The sequence below is a fragment of the Homo sapiens genome, chromosome 15 (assembly GCF_000001405.40).
Source record: "Homo sapiens chromosome 15, GRCh38.p14 Primary Assembly".
NCBI lineage: Eukaryota > Metazoa > Chordata > Mammalia > Primates > Hominidae > Homo > Homo sapiens.
Window position 1 is genome coordinate 26,714,261 of NC_000015.10, and position 23,156 is coordinate 26,737,416.

The window sequence follows — 23,156 nt, forward strand, 5'->3', positions numbered from 1 at the left end:
AGTGCCTGAACTATAACAATGCCCCCATAACTACTGTGAACCCCAAAAATCCGAGACAGGTTTCAGTTAATTTAGAAAGTTTATTTTGCCAGGGTTGAGGCTGCAAGTCCGTGACACAGCCTCAGGAGGTCCTGATGACATGTGCCCAAGGTGGTCAGAACACAGTTTGGTTTTATACATTCTAGGGAGACATGAGACATCAATCAATGTATGTAAGATGAGCATTGGTTCAGTCTGGAAAGGCCGAACAACTCAAAGCAAAGGCAGGAAGACTGGAAGTGGGGCGGGGCTTCCAGGTCATAGGTAGATAAGAGACAAATGGTCGAGTTATTTTGAGTTTCTGACTAGCCTTTCCAAAGGAGGCAAACAGATATGCATTTATCTCAGTGAGAAGAGGGGCGACTTTGAATAGAATGGGAGGCAGGTTGACCCTAAGAAGTTCGCAGCTTGACTTTTTCCCTTTAGCTTAGTGATTTAGAGGTCCCAAGATTTATTTTCCTTTCACACTATCTATTATTATTTTCATTATCACTGTTAGTAATTATTAAAGGTGCATAGGAAATCACTCAGGACTGTCTCAATGAACAGCAGTTCAGGAAATAGGAGTGAAAGACAAATCTGTAGTCTGTGGAGAACACTAAGTTCTCAGAGGTCACACCAAAAACAGAGAAACACAACCATCCGCTGCCTCAAGGGGAGATAAAGCACATCCCAAAAAAGCCACGTGCAAAAAAATTACAAAGCCACATAGCAGTTAGGCACAAAAAACAAGGTGCCAGGTAAATATATCCATACTGAGGGCATGCAGACAAGAGGGCAAGAGGGGGCCATGGGCAGCTCCTTGAGGACCTGGGGGGGTCTGAGCTTGAAGCAGGAGGCAGGTGTGAGCAAGGAGAGAGTCTCTCTCACCAGGACCAGCGAGCTTTTCTAACCATCCCAGCCTTGGAACGAGGCAGGAACACACGTGGGAGACTTGGGCTGGTGATTGAAGAGGTCAGAAAAATCTGAGAGACAGCAGAAAAACCAATTATTCAAAGCTGCCATTTCCAGCCAGCAAAGTTAACTTTGGGTTTTGAGGGTCCTCAGAAGCCTCTCTAAGAACTGAGCAGGAAACAGAGCAACAGATATGATGGTGACAGAGAATTTTTCCCTGCAGCTGTGTGTGGGATGTGCTACATCCCAGAAGAGAGAGGAGAGAAAACCCACACGATGTAATAAGACTTGCACAAAAATGCCAAATTATGACAATAAGTCCTTAAGTGCCGAGGCAGGAACGAGAAGGACATGACTTAGCATTTGGTAATTATGTTGAAGAAATTATGAAATAATAACTATTTATAAACCGATTCTCTTACTAGTCCTGAGCACATACAATATGTTTTCAGATAAAATTATAGATAATGAAATGCTAGAAAATGTTGTTAAGGTGCATGGTGTTGGTTGCATTGTGATATTTAATATACTAATGATAAGTAGATTACTCTGATGCATCCCGTGCCTGAATCATCTGTTGTCTTGTGTGCAAAATCCATTCTTTTATTAGTAAACTATTAAAAACATCCATGGTCTGTCATTTATGGGCCTTCTTTATTGCAACTCATTTATAATGTATAGAATGTGACCTCAACACTCCATAGTTTGCTCTAAGATTTCCAGACTTGCTACATCTTCCAGACACAAAAAGCAAAATACACAGAGAACAAGCCATGGTAAGAACACACACTGTTGTGAACACAGTGCTGGTTTTCAATTAGAATGAAAAGCTGAGCCATGCAGGAATTCCCCACACCTTCTAAAGCAAGTGCATCCAACTCAAGCTATACATGAGCTGATCAATATCCTGACTCAAGGGAAACAAACAGAAAAGTCTCATCTTCAAAATGTAAGATTGTATTGATTTTTTTCTCCTCAAGGCCCAGAGAGTACAAACTGCAAAACAGCTCTCAGCAACTGAATGCTACATGCTGATCCTCTTCCCACTGAACGTGGCTGTGTGTGTGATGGGTGTGCGCTGGGAGTGGAGGTGGAAGCACATCCAACAAAGAGGTAGGATAATGAACCTGATGTAGCTGATGATGCTGCATTCATATTTATAGAGAACCACAGGCTCCTAAAACCCCTATCTCAGCCCTTTGTGTCATACCACAGCACATTCGAGTCCCTCAGAGCTAAGAGCTCCCCTCTGTATTTCACCATGCAGCACCTAACCCATCTTCACAATTGCCATGAAGAAACGATGCTCAGGGGGTTTGAGCAATGTGTGCAAGTTCCCCAAGCAGGTCAAACCCATAAACCGTCTTCACCAACTTCTCACAGCCTGCCTCACATCAACTTGTGAATCCCACTTACTTACATCTCCTTAGAGGCCTCTTGTGGGTTCTCACTGCCAACAGCAAGTCTCTTCTATTTCTTTAAGAATCATCCAATTATTTTTATCACCAACTGCCTTTCTCTTTCACAGGCCATCCAGCTCACATGGCATATATCCAGTAACAGCCCAGCTCTGAGGACCTCCACCAAATGACAGCCCAGCTCTGAGGACCTCCACCCAACCACAGCCCAGCTCTGAGGACCTCCACCCAACCACAGCCCAGCTCTGAGGACCTCCACCCAACCACAGCCCAGCTCTGAGGACCTCCACCCAACCACAGCCTAGCTCTGGGGACCTCCACCCAACCACAGCCCAGCTCTGAGGACCTCCACCCAATGACAGCCCAGCTCTGGGGACATCCACCCAATGACAGACAGCCCAGCTCTTGGGACCTCCACCCAGCGACAGTCCAGCTCTGGGGACCTCCCTCCGATGACAGCCCAGCTCTGCGGACATCCACCCAATGACAGCCCAGTTCTGGGGACATCCGCCCAATGACAGCCCAGCTCTGAGGACCTCCACCCAATGACAGCCCAGCTCTGGGGACCTCCACCCTATGACAGCCCAGCTCTGGGGACCTCCACTCAATGACAACCTAGCTCTGGGGACCTCCACCCTATGACAGCCCAGCTCTGGGGATATCCACCCGATGACAGCCCAGCTCTGGGGACCTCCATCCTATGACAGCCCAGCTCTGGGGACCTCCACCCAATGACAGCCCAGCTCTAATATCCACCCAACAACAGCCCAGTTCTAATGACATTGCTCTCCAGCTCTGAAGCTCCCAGGGACTGGATAATGTGGACCATGTGTAAAGCTAAGACCACACATCCTAGCACTTCGATTACTTACCCATCACCAAAACAGTAACATGCTGTGGGTTCCAGGGAAGATGCTACCCTGAATTCTCCCCTTGTCCAAATCATGCCTTCCCAACAACGCTCATCCAGAACTGGAACTCCACATTTTTTAAAGACAGCCCTTCAGATCTGATAATTGGATGGAATCTCTCTCTCCCCCTGGCTCCCTCCCTCACCCATCACACGTAATGCGTCATGCTTCTCTTAGGGGTACTGATTTTGTTTTCCCTTGCTCCATATTTTTCTTCCCTCCCATTGAAACAGACACCTCTTTACAAGCTGAGCTGGATCTTCGTCTTGTCAGTCTGGTATTTGGCGTTAACCAAGAGAACTCAACAGCTGTAACAAATCCAAGCATTCCAAAGCCATTTGCCTCTTAGGCCAAAGGTAGAGATCCCTTGATCCTTGTAAATGATATTATCCTCTGTTAATCATTTTAAAGGAAGAAGAGTTCTCACTTCTGCAAGTACTTCCACAATCAGTTTATCTCTCATTCTGTCTCATTCTTTCTCTTTTGCCCACTTTGGAAAAGAAAAACAACCAAAAAAAATGTCATACATAACCTATCTATGGCAGCACTGTTTAGTGTTCTTTTCTGGAAGCTGTTGGTCCTGCACACACCTGAAAACAAAAAAGAAACTTCCCCAAAGGTCTAGTCAAAGGCCAGAATTGGCAAATGACAACTTGTACAATTTAATAGCTTATTTCTTATTTATTTATTTATTTATTTTTTTGGGACGGAGTTTTGCTCTTGTTACCCAGGCTGGAGTGCAATGGCACGATCTCGGCTCACCGCAACCTCCGCCTCCCAGGTTCAAGTGATTCTCCTGCCTCAGCCTTCCCAAGTAGTTGGGATTATAGGCATGCGCCACCAAGCCCGGCTAATTTTGCATTTTTAATAGAGATGGGGTTTCTCCATGTGGGTCAGGCTGCTCTCGAACTCCCGACCTCAGGTGATCCGCCCACCTCAGCCTCCCAAAGTGCTGGGATTACAGGCGTGAGCCACCGCGCCCAGCCTTAATAGCTTATTTCTATTAATACTTATAAAGAATCCATACTAACGCTGCAAAACATTTTGCATACAATCTCAAGATTAATATGATGCTCAATGTGTTTTTTTTTCTTATTATACTCTCGTCTATAGTTATTCCCCAGCTGATCCAGATAATCCACCTTTCCTCCTTAGCAGCAGGCTTTGGATGGCTGTAGCTATCTCAGATATTCAGAACACCACCCACCATCCATCATCCTCCACAAGGTGGCCAGAATGATTTTTCAAAAATGCCAACTTAATCCTGTTACTCCTGAAGCTGTACACCTCCGTGCTCCCACACTGCTGAAGTGTGGCCCTCTTGGGCTCAGCTCGCAAGCCCAATGTGATCAGATCCGACCCCCTCTTCAGCCTGCCTCTCCCCACACTTGCTGCTGACATGCTGTGGGGCCACTTCACCCTCTGGTGTCCTGGACAAGCTCTTCCTCTGCTGCAATGCTTCCTCCACTGCCCTTCACCAGGCCCCTCTGTGCATCTCCTCATGGTCCCCACCGCCACCTGGCAAGTGGGGCTTCCTACAAGTTGCCTGCATGCACCACACTGACCTCTGGGCAGGCACATGCACATCGGTCTGAATTGTAATTATTCCTGCCATGTCCACAACAGCACAGCAAGCTCCTGGTCTTCGCTCTGCATGCGAAGCATTTGGCATAGCGCTAGGCACATGGCAGGTGCCCATGAGTGTTTGCTCCACAAATGTGGGACCAACTAAAGAGTGAAGGAACGACCCTGCTCAGCACGGACTGTTCCAGGACTCCGCACACGCACTGACAGGTATGCCTTCCTTTCCAGGAACTCAGGTTGGCACCCTCTACAAATGGAATGTGCTTGGTTTCAATTTCACACTTCAAATCAGGCATAAAATCATTATATGAAAATCCATGGCACAATGATTCAAACAATTGTCAATCGTTCCTAAAATTATTATTCAAATTTTATTCACACTTTAATAGGCTCAATTTTGCAATATCCATGGGTAAAAGCTAAGTTTTAAATATTCAGCTTTGAATGGCTGACAACACTACTTAGCAGATATTTATTATCATTCAAGCACAGTGTTTTAAAATGTCTCGAGGTGTGAACACATTGATCCCTGCATTGTAGCTTATCGTCCTATATTGACCACTGTTTCTGTCATGAAATACGTCAGATCATCAGTTTGGACACAGCTATGCTAAGAATGGTCAGCTCTGAATATTAACTTCACAAGCCAGTTGAAGAAATTAGGACAATAAGAGAAAGATGAGAAACAGTTAAATCCAAAAATTCACCCAATAACTGATAGCATAACCCCAAACCGGCGATTCCCAAACCTGACTGGTCATTGAAACCTGTCTTACTGTCAGGCCTCTGAGCCCAAGCTAAGCCATCATATCCCCTGTGACCTGCACATATACATTCAGATGGCCTGAAGTCACTGAAGAATCACAAAAGAAGTGAAATTTAAATGGCCTATTCCTGCCTTAACTGATGACATTCCACCACAAAAGAAGTGAAAATGGCCGGTCGTTGCCTTAACTGATGACATTACCTTGTGAAATTCTTTCTCCTGGCTCAACCTGGCTCAAAAAGCTCCCCCACTGAGCACCTCATGACCCCCACTCCTGCCCGCCAGAGAACAACCCCCCTTTGACTGTAATTTTCCTTTACCTACCCAAATCCTATAAAACGGCCCTACCCCATCTCCCTTCACTGACTCTCTTTTCAGACTCAGCCCGCCTGCACCCAGGTGATTAAAAACCTTTATTGCTCACACAAAGCCTGTTTGGTGGTCTCTTCACACGGACGTGAGTGAAACTTACCTGTCACCTCTATCAGCTCCTGTCAGTCATTATTTTTCTCCTGGCTCTCTGATCCCTAGCTCAATCACACAGCATTGTAGAACTTAGTGTCTGAAATATCCATGTGATGAAGATTCAAAGGTGCTGTGACTTAGGAAGACGAGACTGGGGCAAGCAGGCATCATTTCAGAGTATCCAGGGACCCAGACGGTCAGGTTTTTAAAAATTGGCAACTGTACAATCTCTTCCCCTCTCCCCACCAAAAGGAATTAGATTTTACTTAGACCACAAATACCTTCTCTTAGGAATACCAAGAGTTTCTGATTCATGAGCTGTTACATTCTTTCTCTTTAAACCTTCTTTATACATGTATAGGGCCTTCACACATACGCAATCCCTCAGGATTTTCTAGCTACTTCAAAAGGGAGGAAGATTCCTCAAAAGGGAACCCGGAATCGAGGTTGAAGGACGAACTGCTGAGGAACAGGAACACCTTACTTCTGCAACATGGAACCTATATTCTAGTGAAGTGCATTGTGCGGATATTCCCAAGATTCTGTTTATTTTATCAGAAAAGTGTTAAAAAAATGTTAATATTATCATTGGCCCAAATAAGGCACTCAAAGGGGATGCAAACAAGATCCTGCAGGGGTGTGTGTAGGGGGTAGACCGCCCCAACATGTCAAATCTCAGTAAACACTTCATTCTGCAAGGCTTTCACCCTCCTCCATCCGCCCAGGGGTCCCCACAAGCTCTCCCTGAGGGGACCTGAAAATGTGTGGATGCTCCGGCTGTGGGATTGCAGGGAGTGTTGCTAGGTGCAGTAGGTAGGGACAGAGAAGCTGAACCTCCTGTAGGAGTCCAGAATATGCCACCCCAAAATATGCTTCTTTGGCATAATGATGATTTTAAGCTGGTAATTTTGAGAAACTGCAGGCAGGAGAAGCTCTGGAAACAGAGCAGAAGTGGCCCTTTGGAAGGGAAACTTGCATCTAAGAAGGAAATCTCCATTTGTAAGGGTGTCTTCCTCTGGGTACCAGGAAGAAGAGGACTCTAAATCACTCATCAATGGAGAGGCGCCCGCTGAAATCTGCATAACAAGCCTTATTCTTGCTCCTCTAGGTCACCTCCCCAAGCCAGGCCTCCCCACTCCCTTCTTCGTTTCAGCAGAGGATGACAGTTAACCTGAATTCAAAGCCACCTCTTTGAGATGTACTCATTTCTCTGGGTATCTCACAGCTGCACATGGGCATGCATTAATCTTCTGCTTGTTTTTCTCTTGTTGATCTGTCTTTTGTTACAGAGCTCCGTCTCAACTAAGAACTGTAAAGGGTAGAGGGGAAATTATTTGTCCACTCCTGCACTCCTACCTACCTAAGGGAAAGAGCCTGCACCACAAAATATAGAGCCCACCTCAAATGTCTACAGTGCTCCCTGACAGGCATCATAAATCTGATGAGACACGGCTGCCTGGTGAGTCAGTGGAGACACCAAGAAAGAGCCAGGACTAGCAGATTTCAGCTGCAACTTCATTGCTCCCAGAGGATGTAGTGGCATCTGAGAACATCAAAGAAAGACCATTGGTCCATGATAATTCAATTAAAGCTTCCTGATGTGGTCACAGGTTACTTTTCTAACTGTAGTTCCACACCAAGCTCAGTTTTCCATCTACTCAATATTGCTAAGAAAAAAGTTTTACATTCTTTAAATTGAAATGCAATCCATTTTTTTTAATGAGCCCCAGTAGATGCAGGTTCCATGCAATAAATCTTAGCTTACCTCACCTAATTTCCTTCTTTTCTCTTTGCTCAGATATAGTTTGCCCCATCTAGGTCCTCAACAAGGGTTGCTCATTAGAACAACCCGGAGAGCTTCAGTTGGGCTGGGGTGGAGCATGAGTTATCAGGATTCGTTGTAAGATGGTTTCGGGAATTGCCAAACTATCTCACGAAAGGGAGGAGACCTGAGCAGCAAATGACCAAGATCTCTGGACGGCTGTTTGGGTTGCTTGTTTATAAGAGAGAGAATTTGAGAATGCAGGACTAAAACATTTCACAAACACTGAGGCCCTCCAGTTGTTTATTCTTCTGGGCCAATTAGGGTCTTGGCGACATAGGCACTCAGATGGAAAACAAACCACATGACGTGCTGTGAAAATCAAAACTGGCTTCTCACCTTCATTTCTTCTTTGTGGCTGCAGTTGAAGGGGGAAATTCTAAGGCAATTTATTCACTGAACTTTACGTTAATATTCAGTCCTCGTAATCTGACAGAATTTCAAGCTTGGCAGCATTGTCGTCCCTAAGTATCTTCTTGGCAACACTTTTGACTTTATAGATAGGGAAACCAAGGCCCAAGGCAAAGGCATTCATTCAGGAATACCATGGCTGGCCCGGGAAGCAGTCACAGAAATCAGGGTTTTCTGACTCCTCCCATAACACTCTTTCTGTTCCTTCAGATGTGAGTCACTGGATCCGAGGGCTGGGCTTCCTCGTTCTGGCTCCCCGTGCCATAGCCAAGCCCTGCTCTCCCACTGGGTGCCTCTGCTCAGCTGCAACTGTGACTGCCTCTCCCTGCCCACTGCTTTGCCTCAGGGACCTATCAGCTTCACACTATGTTAGATTGTATCATTCATTTCCCAGGAGAGTGATTTCATTTTAATAATAATACGAAAGCTCTCAACCTTAAGACATTCAGAGTAGCTTCCAAAATGTCACTCAAAAGGGCCTCTTTTCTTCCATTGAGAAGATTCCAAGTTCTGCAATCATGGTAAGCACATTAATAAAGGGGTAAGGGTAGAGGTCCTGAAGTTTACACAAATCAGAGGAAAAAAATCATAGAAAAATTCCACTCCATTTGCAGAAGACATCTGTCAAACTAATTTTATCATTAGAGTCTTTACAAGGTCACAATATAAAATTATGTGTGCTTTGAACAAGTTATACCCATCTTTTAACTTTTCCTATGTGAAAATAATTTGAGTCTTTTGAATGTTGTATTCTGCTTTGCTGAAGGCATTCTTTCTAATTCCACATCCTGATAAGTGTGGAACTATCTTGGAATATAACCCCTCCCTACCTAGGGTAGTTATTTTCACACTAAGAAATCCTACATTTTGGCATTCATCAGCTATAATTTTGCAAAGAATGAACTACCCACATTTAATTTAAGCAAATAATTATCTTCACAGATATGAAGATAGAATGTGCTTCTGCCTGCAGACACAGTGTTGAGCACCCATGGGTGGGAAGTGCAGCCTGGAGGGGACACACCTGACCTCCCAGCCATGGTCATTGTCCCAATGAATTCTCCTAGAAGTTCTAGTTCACTGACTCTGTCCGTTGGAAACCTGTATGTTTCAACTCAGAAAATAATATAGGTCACCAGGAACGTGAGGAACACATAGGTAAACAGAAATACTTGTTTTGTGAATGAGGATATCACTGCCTACCACATTTCTCTCTGATTATCCATGAGGCAAACCAAGGCCACGATTCCTAGGCTCCACTGTTTTTTCACAAAGAAAAACTTATCAGACACGTGATGTAAACCAATTGTACCAGTGTTCCCTGACTTCCTTTTCTGTGAGAAAAAAAAAATGTCATAAACAAGAATGGTAATTGGCTAGCCCCAAGGAATGGGCACATTCCTCAGCAGGGAACCTCATAATGTGGACAGATTCCTTTTTGGTGTTGTTTCCCACATTTCATTGGCTGCTACAGTCCACGTGTACATCACTCTGCTCTCCTGGTTCACAAGCTAAGCTTTTCATATTCATTTTTTGTTACTTATGCAGAGCTCTTCACCCACAACACTCTTCTGCCAGGGAACATTCTGCCCATCTTCTAGAAATGTCACTTGTTCTGAAACTCTTCTTTTCTCCTCCATGTCACATAAATCTAACAGTATCAGTGGATCCTCTCTCCTCCTGGGCCATCACAGCTGAGAAATAAAAATGAAACCCTAAAACCCCCAACCAGTTGAATGAACCCCCCTCTTGGCCAAGAATTCCCTAGGGAAATTTTGGAAGCTGAGTTCTTGGCCATTATGGGATGCAAGGTCAGAAATGCCTCATTATATATCCTTTCCCTTGCTAACCACCTTTCTTCCCAGGGGCTAAACAGAAACCAGCCCTTTTGAAAGACTCCACCGATAGCAACCAACTGTCTGAGGCTGCCTCTTGCTTGTACAATTTCAGCAAAATAACCAACCAGCATTCTTTCCTGATAAGAGACCACCAACCATGGAGTGGTTGGCGCCAGTCTACAGCAGATGTACAGTGAGGGGTAATGCATCCTCTGCTTCACCTTTTGATGTCAGAGGGCTGAAAACTCCACCCTCAGATGATAACACCACAGATTGTTAAACATAGGTCCCATGGAGAGGCATGAGACTAACTGCACATGTGCATGGTTCTCCTTTCTTCCTTCATAAATATTCATGACTCCTCCTACAGTGTATTAAATATGCATATTTAGCCACCCCAGTCTGCATAAATTCTTGTTCCCTTTGCCCCCCCTCAAAGTATCTGTTTCCAGCTTCTAATGGGAGGCTACACTTCCCAGCCTATCAGAATGGCCATGCAGGCTGCAACCCTTTATGAGAAATAAAGCTCCCCTTTCCAAATTTATGACCCTTGACATTCTTCAGTTGACACAGCCCATGGAGCTCACAATACACTATGTGAATGTTGGCCATGACTTGTCAAAGGCAATTGGTATAGTGTCACTTTCTTGAACACAATGCCATTTCTAATTAACTGCTGTCCCCCCATCACAGTGCCCCTCCTTGTACATAGCTCATGCTACAGGTATCTGTAGAATGAATTGGTTCTTAGGAAAAGGTGCCTTATTCCCTCAAACATACACACAAAGGTCTGGATTTTCATAGCCTTGTGAGGAGTTTCAACTGACTGAATATTTTTCTGGGAAGGTACTAAGTAGCTGTAACTTCAGGTGTCTTTTCAGGCTGATGCACAGTCTTTAAATAAGTTTATAATTCCACCATCCCTCCCCAGAAGCTGTCCCCTCCACCTTCCCCTCCTCAGAGGCACATGATCTAAGAAGGCTGGGGAGGACTGTGGTGCCCTTATTGATCCACCCACTGACTGCCACCTCTGCATCATCCTCCACACACCACATTGGACAAAAGCGCCAATGTTACTTGCTATGAACCTTGACCTCATAGTAAGTAGCTGGTAATGATGCTTACATGCAAATTACTTCTAAATTCTTTAATTTTTAATTCTGCACTTTGAAATGATTTCAAACTTTTGAAAATGTTGCAAATCTAGAACAAGTTGACTATCCCTTATTCAAAATGTTTGAGACCATAAGAGTTTCAAATTTGGAGTTTTTTTCATATTTGAGGATATCTGCAAATATATAATGAGATATCCTGGGGATGGGACCCAAGTCTAAGCATGAAATTCATTTATGTTTCATATACAACTTATACACATAGCCTGAAGGCAATCATGTATAACATTTTTAATATTTAATAATTTTGTGCATGAAACAAAGTTTGCATATGTTGAACCATCAAAAATCAAAGGTGTCACTATCTCAGCCACCCATGTAGACAATCTGTGGTTGTTCAGCATCACCACCAAAAAACACAGTGAGTAATGCTCATGAGTCTTGGTCCCATGTGGGAACCTGCTTTGGCATGTCCAGCCTGCACATGTGTCATTTTACTCCTCATTGTGGGTGTGCTACTATGGGGGAAATCTGGGTGTGCTGGGCATGCGCACAAAAGACATATCACAGCTGGAGGGAGCTGGGAGGGTCGTTTTTTCCCTTGGGGATACTGAACTGTACATTGTGTGCCTGCATTTTGACTGCAGCCCATCACATGAGGTCAGATGTGAAATTTTCCACTTGTTGGTATCATGTCAGCACTAAAAATGTTTCAGATTTTGGAACATTTTAAATTTTGGATTTTTGGATTAGGGATGCTCAACCTGTGTAAAGATATCCCATATACCATTAGTCTAGCTTCTTCAAATGTTAACATCTTACATAACTGCAGTAAAATGATCAAAACCAGGACATCAACAATGGTCTCATATTAACTAATTCACAAGTCTTATTTGAATGTCACTGATAGTTCCACGTTAGTTCCTTTCTGGACCCGGTTCCAAACAAGGAATGGACATTGCATTTAGCAGTCTTCTAGAAGTTTGGACACTTCCTCAATCTGTCTTTGTCTTTCATGATCTTGACACCACTGAGGAGTTCCGACAAGGTATCCTATAGAATGTCTGCAATTTAGGATAGCCTGATGTTTCCTCGTGATTCAATTCAAGTTACATATTTTTGGCAAATATGTCATAGAGGTGATGCTGTGCCCTTCTTGGTGATCATACAAGGAGGGACACGATGTCTCTTTGTGCCACTGTCAGCAAGGTTAACTTTTACCACTTGGTCAAGCTGGTATCTGCTGGGTTTCTACACTGTAAAGTCACTGTTTTGCTTTTCCTTTCGCAATTAAGAGGCATTATGTGGGGAGATACCTTGAGATTGTGCAGGTATTTTATTTCTCATTAAAATTTCACACCCAGGAGCGGTGGCTCACACCTGTAGTCCCAGCACTTTGGGAGACCGAGGCAGGCGGATCATGAGGTCAGGAGTTCGAGACCAGCCTGACCAACATGGTGAAACCTCATCTCTACTAAAAATACAAATATTAGCTGGGTGTGATCACATGCACCTGTAATCCCAGCTACTAGGGAGGCTGAGGCAGGAGAATTGATTGAACCTAGGAGGTGGAGGTTGCAGTGAGTTGAGATCGTGCCACTGCACTCCAGCCTGGGCAACAGAACAAGACTCGGTCTCAGGAAAAAAGAAAAATCACTCACCAGTTTTAGCATGTACTAATGACTCTCACCTGAAATTTTGGTTATTATGATTCCTGTCGAATGACGACTGTCTAATTCCATCAACCTCTACAGTAAGGAAGACATGTCCCTCCTTCCTTAGGTATTTACTTATGTATATATCTATTTAATTATGTATTGTATCAGTGTGGACTCATGGATAGTTTATTCTATGGAATACTTTTATTCTATAGGTTTTAGTACAAAATGATGTCATTATTTTGTTGCTCAAATTGCCCCCGATTTGGCCATCAGGAGACCCTTCAATTCTGTTCTATGCTGTTTCAATAGACTCCCAACATTTGTAAGCACTTTCTTACTTTCTGATACTAAATGCTCACCTAAGCTTACCTAGCACTTTCCCTACCCCAGCCTTGAAATCAGGGATTGCTCCTAGAAGCCCTGATTCAGTTTATTGGAGGATATTAGAAACCAAGATCAGGAAGCCAGGTATGCTCAAATGACACTGCTTCTCAGCCATCGCTGTAGCCAGAGCTGGGACCTCTGAGTCCATTTACACACAGCCACATCCATTTCTCTATCTCTCTCTGCATATATATCATGACCTCATGTGTTCATACCAATACCACTGATTCCAATTCAACATCACAAGGTTCATACAAGCCTTACTTGTTTCCTTGTTTATCACTCTTTTCTTAGACAATGAGAAACTTGCTTTTATTATTGAATATACCCACTTATTTACTCACATCTAGAATACAGATAATTTCAGAAATTCTATCACGTACCCCTGAGAGAAACTAAAATCCTTACTAACTAGAATACAATACTTGAGAGGAGCTGTTATTCCCTTCTAGTCAATGGTCAAAAGACTGTTTTTCAAAGTTACCTACATTGATTCTTGATTCTGCCCATCCCAGACCATCCAGATACACTGCATCTAAAGGTAACATTTAAACAGGAAGTGAGACATTCCTCCAGGGAAACAACTGAGGGATTCTCTGTCAAATGGCTTATGATACCTCATTCTACTAGGTGAGGCTCACAACTGTATCAATGAGACCAAAACCCCAAACACCATCAAAGTTTAAATCTTCCCTCTGTAACAGCACTAGACAGGGGAAACAAATGAGCAAAGTGTCCCCTCCATGTATTCTGGTTCCCACACATATGGAGACTCTGTTGTCTTCAGCACCTGCCCTCCATGGTTGGCCCAGGGACTGCCTCCAGTCCAGCACGCACAGAGTCTTCATGGAAAATAAACACCGCGTGCTGGAGTGGAGGCAGTGACTATAAGGATGCACATCACTTCTGCTGAAATTCAAGCCCGAGGTCTCATCTAACTACAATAGATACTGGGAAGGGTGGGCTAGCTCCAGGCCCAAGGGAGAAAATACCATGGATATGGTGAGCAGGCCACACAGCACACGCTGCCAACACAAAATATTCATAATGGAGAGATACACTTAAAGTGCCTTTTCAAAAAGCTCTGGTAGTGGTATTCTATGCAGTCATCATTAACGTATTTCATCTTTCATGACGTATTTGCTCTAGGACTTTCCTCAGACTTTCAAACTCAAAGGACTCTCATGTTGTTACCTGTATGTTATTTTCCAAAAGATCTCTGGTCCTGTCTAGATTTATCAGCTCATATACCAGCAGCTGGCTTTTATTTCATCCCTTATATAGGCAAAGCTTTGTGCTAAGCAATTTAAATGCATATGGTTACATAAATTTGCTCACACAACACTAAAATGTGCAATGAAAATGTAGCTTCCTGATGCAATTTTCCTCAAGAAGGTCCGGGTTTTGGTGGCATAACAGAAACACCCTTATACTGAGTATACGTGAGTCAAGTCTGACTTAAGTCTGACTTAGTAACTTATAAGAAAGATACTTCACCTGTTTTAAAAATATATTTATCATTCAGATCTCACTTGCTTTCCCCCACGCCTCTGCAAGTGGGCATCTGCTGATCTTGCAGCAGGAAAGAGGTCTGGGCAAGGGGCCGGGGGCCTCTGTGTTCTCAGTGGTCCCGCTGCACAGTGTATTCAGACTGCTCAGCTCCCCACCCTGGAGAACACTGAGCAACACTGCCTCCGACTGGCCCTCGGGAGTGACATGTAGGTAATAAACCTACAGCTTTAGTCTGGCAGACTGACCCACCATCCCTCCCCAGAAGCTGTCCCCTCCACCTTCCCCCTCCTTGGAGGCTCCTGAACCCAAGAAGGCTGGGGAGGACTCTGGTGCCTTTACTGATCCAGCCACTGACTGCCACCTCTCCATCATCCTCCGCACAGCACACTGGACAAAAGCGCCAAGCTAATGGCTAGCCTTTTAGGAGGCCTGCAGACTTTGCACACAACCCCTGCAGAAGAAGCCTTTAAGTTAATCTGGGTATTTCTAAAGCCTCCATGGATCAGGCCCCCAAATTCTCTGTGGATGTGGAGGGTGGGGAACAAAATCTCACTTCTCCCTATAACTTCTTGAGCCAAAAATAGATCAGTTCATGCTTTACTTTTTCAGGGCAGAAAGGTTCACACCATCTGTTCCCTATGCCCCCAGCAGGCTCCTTCACTTCCTCCAGGTGCATGCTCAGATTCCACCCAAGCAGCAGGGCCTTCCCTGCACTCCCTACCTGCCAGGCTCTGCCATGCCCAACAGCACACACTACCATCCAACACAATAGATGTTTACTTGCATGTTTGTTTGTAGTCTGTCTCTCTCTACAGAACATCTGCCCCAGCATGGCAGAGGCTTCATTCTATTCCCTGATGTAACCTCAGTACCTAGAACCAAGTTAGGTGCATAAGAGATATGCATTAAATATTGTCAAATGAATGCTGAACTCATAAATGGCCTGGCCGTGTCAGGCAGAAGCAATATCATCTCTATACTTACAGGAAGAACACCAATATACACAAAAGAAATTTAGAAGAAACCTGGCTTTCAAATATTCTAAATTCCTGAGACATCTAGCAAATATTTGTTCTTACAGTCCAAGTGGAGAAAATGTATCATTCTTCTGTTGGTTATATCCCATTTCCTGAAGCCCTGTTGCCCCTGGATTAATTGAATAAGACCAGGGCAATAAGACTTACAGGATGAATAGCCGGGCGTGGTAGCGGGCGCCTGTAGTCCCAGCTACTCGGGAGGCTGAGGCAGGAGAATGGCGTGAACCCGGGAGGCGGAGCTTGCAGTGAGCCGAGATCGCGCCACTGCACTCCAGCCTGGGCGACAGAGCGAGACTCCGTCTCAAAAAAAAAAAAAAAAAAAAAAGACTTACAGGATGAAACAACAGTTTCCCGGTGCACAGGCACCTCACCACCCCCCGTGCGGATGAATGCGGTCACGTCCCATTGTGGAGAGAAAGAAGAGGAGCTGAAGAGGCCAGAGCCCTCAGCCCAGGGCCACAGAGTGAATGGCCAGGGTGGGGCTGGGTCCTTAGGACCATTATTCTTCCTTTACATCTTAAAGTCATTTTACCATTTTGGACTTTTTTCTAGGTTTGGTATCTATATTAATGAATGACCTAATGAAAAGTAGTATAATAGAGAAGATAGGAACGAAAGTCAGTGCCAGATGTCCAAGCTTAAATCCTCCATCTGTTTTTTGCTGGTTATGCCATATCGCACGAATTGCTCAATCCAAATACACTTCAGTTTCCTCATATGTAAAACAGGGTTAAGAGTGAAATACTTTTCTCATAGGAGCATTGTAAGCAGCAAATGAACTCACACATATGCAGCACTTATAATAGAAGCTAACAGATTACTTTTATCAAGCAATAATGAATATAATTTGGGTTCAACATTTAACCTTACAGGTGTGATCTTTTCAGCCACTGCTGCGAAGTCTTATTTTCAGCAACACCAGTATTAATGATGCAGGCTCTCTCACTCGCTCTCGCTCTCTCTCTCTCTCTCTATTAATATTTTCAACAAATCAATGACTATTTTCATACAAAGATTATAATTGACATTGATCTCACAGTTCTGTTTTAAAAATGAGATCACTTTATAGAACACCTGTGACCTATTAAATAAAATAATGAAAGAAATCACCAAACAACAGTATAACAAAAATAAACATCATGAAGAAAACCAGCAGACATACATACTTACTACAATGAGCATTTTAACTGAGGTTTTCAAAAGACTGCTTCCCACCAGGGAGGCAGTTACTTTTCATTGTATACAGTTCTTGCCAGAATCATATCCTTGTTGAATTCTTGAGTTGAATAAAACCTTTTTGAGGCTTTGCCAGCTCCATGGACCTCACTTTGGAGTCCATACAGAGGAGGTTGCACCTCAGTGGTTCTTTCTGGTACCCACATGGAAAGTAGAGTAGACATACACCCACACAGATATGCCAGTGGGGGATGCAGGCCAGCAGGAGACCTATTTTTGCTCCCTCCTTTGAAATTCAGCTCAACCAGGAGATTAGAGTTTATAAGATAATGGCCTTCCCTCCCTGCCATATTCATATTCTCACACTCTGCATTTTTATTTCTGCATGTAATGTTGCACACACTGATACTAACTGCAAATGGTTTATGCCAAAATTCAGTAAACAAACAAACATAGCAGACATGCACAGCAGAGTTGTGAACACGAAAAAGCAGATCCTGCATACCATTTAGCGGTGTTTTTAAAAAGATAACAAAACAACCTTTACCTCTTCAACAAGGTAAATGTGGCTAAAATGAAGATTTAATGATATCTGGGTACTGATGTTTATTTCCTGGTAACAAAGTCAGTATAAAATTTGATTAGATAAGACCAGCTTCTCACAGATAGGTGAATTGATGATAGCCAGATGGATGGACAGATGGACGCGTGGACAGATGGACAGATGGTTGGATGGATGGATGGGCGGATGGATGGATGGACAGGTGGACGGATGAGTGGAAGGGTGCATGGGTGGATGGATGGATAGATGATGGATAGATGGATGGACAGACAGATGGACAGATGGATGGATGGATGGAAGGATGGATGGATGGATCAATGGATGGGTGGATGAATGTATAGATGGATGGGTGGATGGATGGATGAATGGATGGATGGGTGGACAGATGGATGGATGGATGAATAGATGGATGGATGGATGGATGAATAGATGGATGGATAGATGGATGGATGGATGGATGGATGGATGGATGGATGGATGGATGGACGGACAGATGAGTAGATAGAGAGATAAATAAACAGCACATCTATGAATCACACTTCTTCTTACAGTCCAATTTCCAGTATGATTATCCATTAACACAAAAACTTCCATCATGTTTAAAGATTCTTAAAAAACAGGGAACAACATTTTGGGAGGCAGAGATGGGAAAATTGTTTGAGACCAGGATTTCAAGACCAGCCTGAGCAACATAGTGAGACCCCTTTCTCCCAAAAAAATTTTTTTTTTTTTTTGAGATGGAGTCTTGCTCTGTTGCCAGGCTGGAGTGCAGTGGCACTATCTCGACTCACTGCAACCTCCACCTCCCAGGTACAAGCAATTCCCCTGCCTCAGCCCGCTGAGTAGCTGGGATAACAGGCACGCGCTACCGTGGCCAGCTGTAATCCCAGGACTTTGGGAGGCCGAGGCAGGTGGATCGCGAGGTCAGGAGATCAAGACCATCCTGGCCAAAATGATGAAACCCCATCTCTACTAAAATACAATTCTTTTTTTTAATTAGCCGGGAGTGGTGGTATGTGCCTGTCATCCCAGCTACTCTGGAGGCTAAGATAGGAGGATTCCTTGAGCCCGGGAGTTTGAGGCTTCAGTGAGCTATGATTGTGCCACTGCACTCCAGCCTGAGTGACAGAGTAAGACCTTGTCTCTAATAGAAAAAAAAAAAAGCCATATATGAAAAACTCACAGTGAACATCACACTCAATGCTGAAAAACTGAATTTTTCTTCTAAGATCAGGAACGAGGCAAGAAGGCCTGCTGTTTCCTCTTCTATTCAACATAGTACTGGAAGTTCTAGCCACAGCAATTAGACAAGAAAAATAAATAAAGGGCATTCAAATTGGAAAGAAAAAAGTAAAATTCTCTCCCTTTATGGATGATATGATATTTTATGTAGAAAATACATACTACACACACATACACACACACAAATTGTTATAGCTAATAGATATAAATTAAGCCAAGTAGCAGGATACAAAGTCAACACACAAAAATTACCTGTATTTCTATATTGTAACAATGAGCAACCTGAAAAGAAAGTTACAGAAATAATTTTATTCATGATACAATAAAAAATAATAATACTTAGGCATTAACCAAGGAGGTGAAAGACATGTACAATAAAAACTATGAAATACTGCTAAAAGACTATAAAGACATAAATAAATGAAAACAAAGTCCATGATTTTGAAGACTTAACATTAAGATGACAATACTACAAAGTGATCTACAGATTAAATACAATTCTAAAACCCATTGATGTTTTATGCAGAAAAAGAAAGGCCCATCATAAAATTCATATGGAATCCCTAATAGCCAAAACAATTTTGAAAAAGAACAAAGCTTGAGCACTCACACTTCCTGATTTCAAAACTTACTACAAAGCAACAGTAATCAAAACAATATGGCATTGATGTAAACACAGACACACAGATCAGACCAGTGGAATAGAATAGAGGCCTCAGAAATAAATGCTGGAATATATGAACAAATGACTTTTGACAAGGGAGTCAAGACTGTTCAATAGGGAAAGGACAGTCTTTTGAACAAATGTTACTGGATAAGCCAGATATCCACATGCAAAAGAATGAAGGTGGACCTTTATCTAACACCATATACAAAAATTAACTCAAAATAGGTAAAAAACCTAAATGTAAGCCCTAAAACTATAGGGCTTTTTTTTTTTTTTTTTTTTTTTGAGGCAGAGTTTTGCTCTTGTTGCCCAGGCTGGAGTGCAATGGCATGATCTCGCCTCAACACAACCTCCGCCTCCTGGGTTCAAGCAATTCTCCTACCTCAGTATCTCGAGTAGCTGGGATTACAGGCATGCACCATCACACCCAGCTAATTTTTTGTGTTTTTAGTACAGATGGGGTTTCTTCACGTTGGTCAGGCTGGTCTTGAACTCCCGACCTCAGGTGATCCGCCTGCCTCGGCCTCCCAAAGTCCTGGGATTACAGGCATGAGCCACCATACCTGGACAAAACTATAGGACTCTTAGAAGAAAACACAGGGCAAAATCTTCACAACATTGTATTTAGCAGTGACTTCCTGGATATGACATCAAAGGCACAGGCAACAAAAGAAAAAAACAGACAAACTGAATGTAATCAAAATTTTAAAACATTGCATGTCAGAAAACACTATCTGGCTGGGTGAGGTGGCTCATGCCTGCAATCTCAGGACTTTGGGAGACTGGGGCTGGAGGACTACTTGAGCCTAGGAGTTTAAGGATACAATGAACAATGGTCACACCACTGCACTCCAGCCTGGGCAACAGGGTGAGTCTCAAAAAAAAAAAAAAAAAAGCCTGGTGTAGTGGCTCATACCAGTAATCCCAACACTTTGGGAAGCCAAGGGAGGAGGATTGCTTAAATCCAGGAGTTCAAAACCAGCCTGGGCAACACAGCAAGACCCCATCTCTAAAAAATTTATCTTGGAGTGGTGGTGTGTACCTGTGGTCCCAACTACATGGGAGGATGGCTTGAGCCTGGGAAGTTGAGGCTGCAGTGAGCTGTGATTGTGCCACTGCACTCCAGCCTGTACGACACAGCAAGAACCAGTCAAAACAAAACAAAACAAAACCCTATCAGTAGAGTAAACAGGCAACCCACAAAATGGGAGAAAATGTTTGCAAGTCATATATCTGATAAAGGATTGATATCCAGAATATATAGAAAACTCCTACAACTCAACAACAAAAAACAACCCATTTCAAAAATGAACAACAGACATAAACAAGCATTTTTCCAAAGAAGATACACAAATGGCGAATAAGCACATGAAAAGATGCTCAATTTCATTCATCATTAGGGGACTACAAATCAAAACCACAATGAAATACTACCTCATACCCAACAGAATGGCTACTAACAAACAAAGAGAAAATAACAAGTGTTGATCGGGATGTGAAGAAATTGGAATGCTTATGCACTGTTGATGGGAATGTAAAATGGTATAGCCAATATGGAAAACAGTGTGGCCTTTATAAAGAAATTAAAAATAGAATTACCATATGAGGTAGCAGTTCCACTTCTGGATAAAACTGCAGCAACTCCACTTCTGGGAATCCCACCCAAAAGAATCGGAAGCAAGTTTGCAAAAAGATAGTTGTACACCCATGTTCATAGCAGCATTATTTACAATAGCTAAAATGTAGAAGTGACCCAGGAATCCATCCACAGATGAGTGGATAAACAAATTGTGGTATATCTATAGAAGGGAATATTAGTCAGCCTTAAGCTGGAAGGAAATTCTGGCACAAGCTACAATGTGGATAAACCTTGAGGCCATTATTCTAAGTGAAAGAAGCCAGTCATGCTAGGCCCAGTGGCTCATGTCTGTAACCCCAGCACTTTGGGAGGTCAAGGCAAAAGGATCGCTTGAGCCCAAAAGTTTGAGACCAGCCTGGGCAATATAGGGAGACCCCATTTCCACAAAAAAGTAAAAATAAAAAATTAGTGGGGGATGGTGGCACATGACTGTGGTCCCAGCTACTTCAGAGGCTGAAGCAGGAGGATCACTTGAGCCCAGGAGGTTGAGGCTGCAGTGAGCTATGACCGTATCACTGCACTCCAGCCTGGGCAACAGAGAGAGACCTTGTCTTCAAAAAAAAAAAAAAAAGCCAGTTCTAAAAACACATATCCTATATAATTCCATTTATATGAGATCCTAGACAGTAAAAATCACAGAGACAGAAAGTAAGGTGATGGCTGCTAGGGACTGAGGGGAGAGGTGTGCAGAGTTACTATTTAATGTACACAGTTTCAGTTTTACAAGCTGAAAAGCATTATGGAGAAGGATAGTGGCAATTATTGCACAAAAGTGCAAATGCATTTAATGCAACTAACCTGTGCACTTTAAAATGGTCAAGATGGTAAATTTTATGTATTTTACCTCAATAAAAATAAATAAATAATTTTTTAAATAAGCTACTTACATAAGGCACTATCATTGGCAGAATCACATACAGTTACTTTCCCATTAGTATAAAGCAGACAAGAAATACACTATTCAATAACATGATAAAATTATAAGGCATAACTTGTGCTTCATTTTAACCTGAGGTAAATGGTTAACAGTTTACAGGGAAGGAAATAATAAAACATGACAGAAATTGCTGTCTTGAGAAGTACTCCTTCTGAAATTGTTTGCTAAATGTTTGTATCAGGCAACTTCAATCCGGAGTTTGAGGAAAGCATATTGCAATGTCACTCTGTGAGCTGCCCCTCGGCAGTGAGCCGGGGCAGCAGGGAGGAGGCCCAGCTCCCGCAGGAGAGGCCAGCATTCCAACTTCCATAGGGTGGGGTGCTGCAGGACAGTGGATCTGGAGCATAGGGTAGCTTTGTGACCTAAGAAAGGAATTCGCTAGAATGTGTTCCATTTGCACATCACACAATGTGGGTTCTTGTGAGGATAGGCAGGTAGCAAATCCTCAGGGAACACTGACTGAATGAACCCATAACTCAATGGCCACAGGCCTGGACAGGGAGAGGGCCAAAGGGGTCTGAAGCTGCTGGGTGAATGAGAACATCCTTTGACTTTGATGCAAAAGTCACCGGCACTTCCCAGGTTAGGTCTGCAAAGAGTGCATTTTCCACTAAGGAGGGCAGCTGGCAAAGCACAGCCTTGTCCTTTTGGGTTTAACGTCCTTGATTTTCCCTCTTAGCCTCCTGTGGCACCACCAGGCCTCCAGGGACACCACCGCCCTCTAAAGTGCTGTCGCAATGAGAGAAACTCTCTAGGTCTGTTCCAGAGAACACGGCTGAGGCCACTGGAGCTTGCCCCCTCTGTGATTTGCTAGTGAGATATCTGACTGGAAAAGTGGTCCCTGTCTGTGTGATTCTGGTGCATGCTTCAAAAGGCTGGGACCTCAAAAGCAGTGATGACTCGATAGCCCAGGGAAGGAAGAACTCACTGTACAAAACAAGACTGAGCATGGAAAACAAGAGGACTGCACAGTCAACCACCAAAGTGATTTGAAATCAGGTGCGTTTTGTTTCTTTGACTATATAAATGAAAACATTTTCACCAAGATAAAAACTGAAACTAAAGATGAATGTTGCAGG

At 43.4% G+C, this 23,156-nt stretch overlaps 1 protein-coding gene across 4 annotated transcripts in view, besides 3 other annotated features; it reads right to left on the reverse strand.

Annotated features, from left to right (window-relative positions):
• The window catches only part of GABRB3 (gamma-aminobutyric acid type A receptor subunit beta3), a 230,212-nt gene that overhangs the window by 170,709 nt on the left and 36,347 nt on the right, over positions 1–23,156 (reverse strand). Inside the window, exon 1 of one of the 4 annotated variants that reach the window (NM_001191320.2) lies at positions 2,354–2,505. The exons of the other annotated variants lie outside the window; for them this stretch is intronic. The gene's annotated coding sequence lies outside the window, so the exon portion shown is untranslated. Of the gene's footprint in view, positions 1–2,353; positions 2,506–23,156 lie in introns of those variants that run through there. 4 annotated transcript variants of the gene reach the window in all.
• Positions 4,255–5,062: an enhancer, noted in NCBI's record as "H3K27ac-H3K4me1 hESC enhancer chr15:26963662-26964469 (GRCh37/hg19 assembly coordinates)". NCBI's record gives its function as "activates a minimal SCP1, AML or CMV promoter by ChIP-STARR-seq in naive H9 embryonic stem cells {active_cell/tissue: H9 hESC(naive)}" and the evidence as "EXISTENCE:reporter gene assay evidence [ECO:0000049][PMID:30033119]".
• Positions 5,063–5,869: an enhancer, noted in NCBI's record as "OCT4-NANOG-H3K27ac-H3K4me1 hESC enhancer chr15:26964470-26965276 (GRCh37/hg19 assembly coordinates)". NCBI's record gives its function as "activates a minimal SCP1, AML or CMV promoter by ChIP-STARR-seq in naive and primed H9 embryonic stem cells {active_cell/tissue: H9 hESC(naive and primed)}" and the evidence as "EXISTENCE:reporter gene assay evidence [ECO:0000049][PMID:30033119]".
• Positions 5,870–6,676: an enhancer, noted in NCBI's record as "OCT4-NANOG-H3K27ac hESC enhancer chr15:26965277-26966083 (GRCh37/hg19 assembly coordinates)". NCBI's record gives its function as "activates a minimal SCP1, AML or CMV promoter by ChIP-STARR-seq in naive and primed H9 embryonic stem cells {active_cell/tissue: H9 hESC(naive and primed)}" and the evidence as "EXISTENCE:reporter gene assay evidence [ECO:0000049][PMID:30033119]".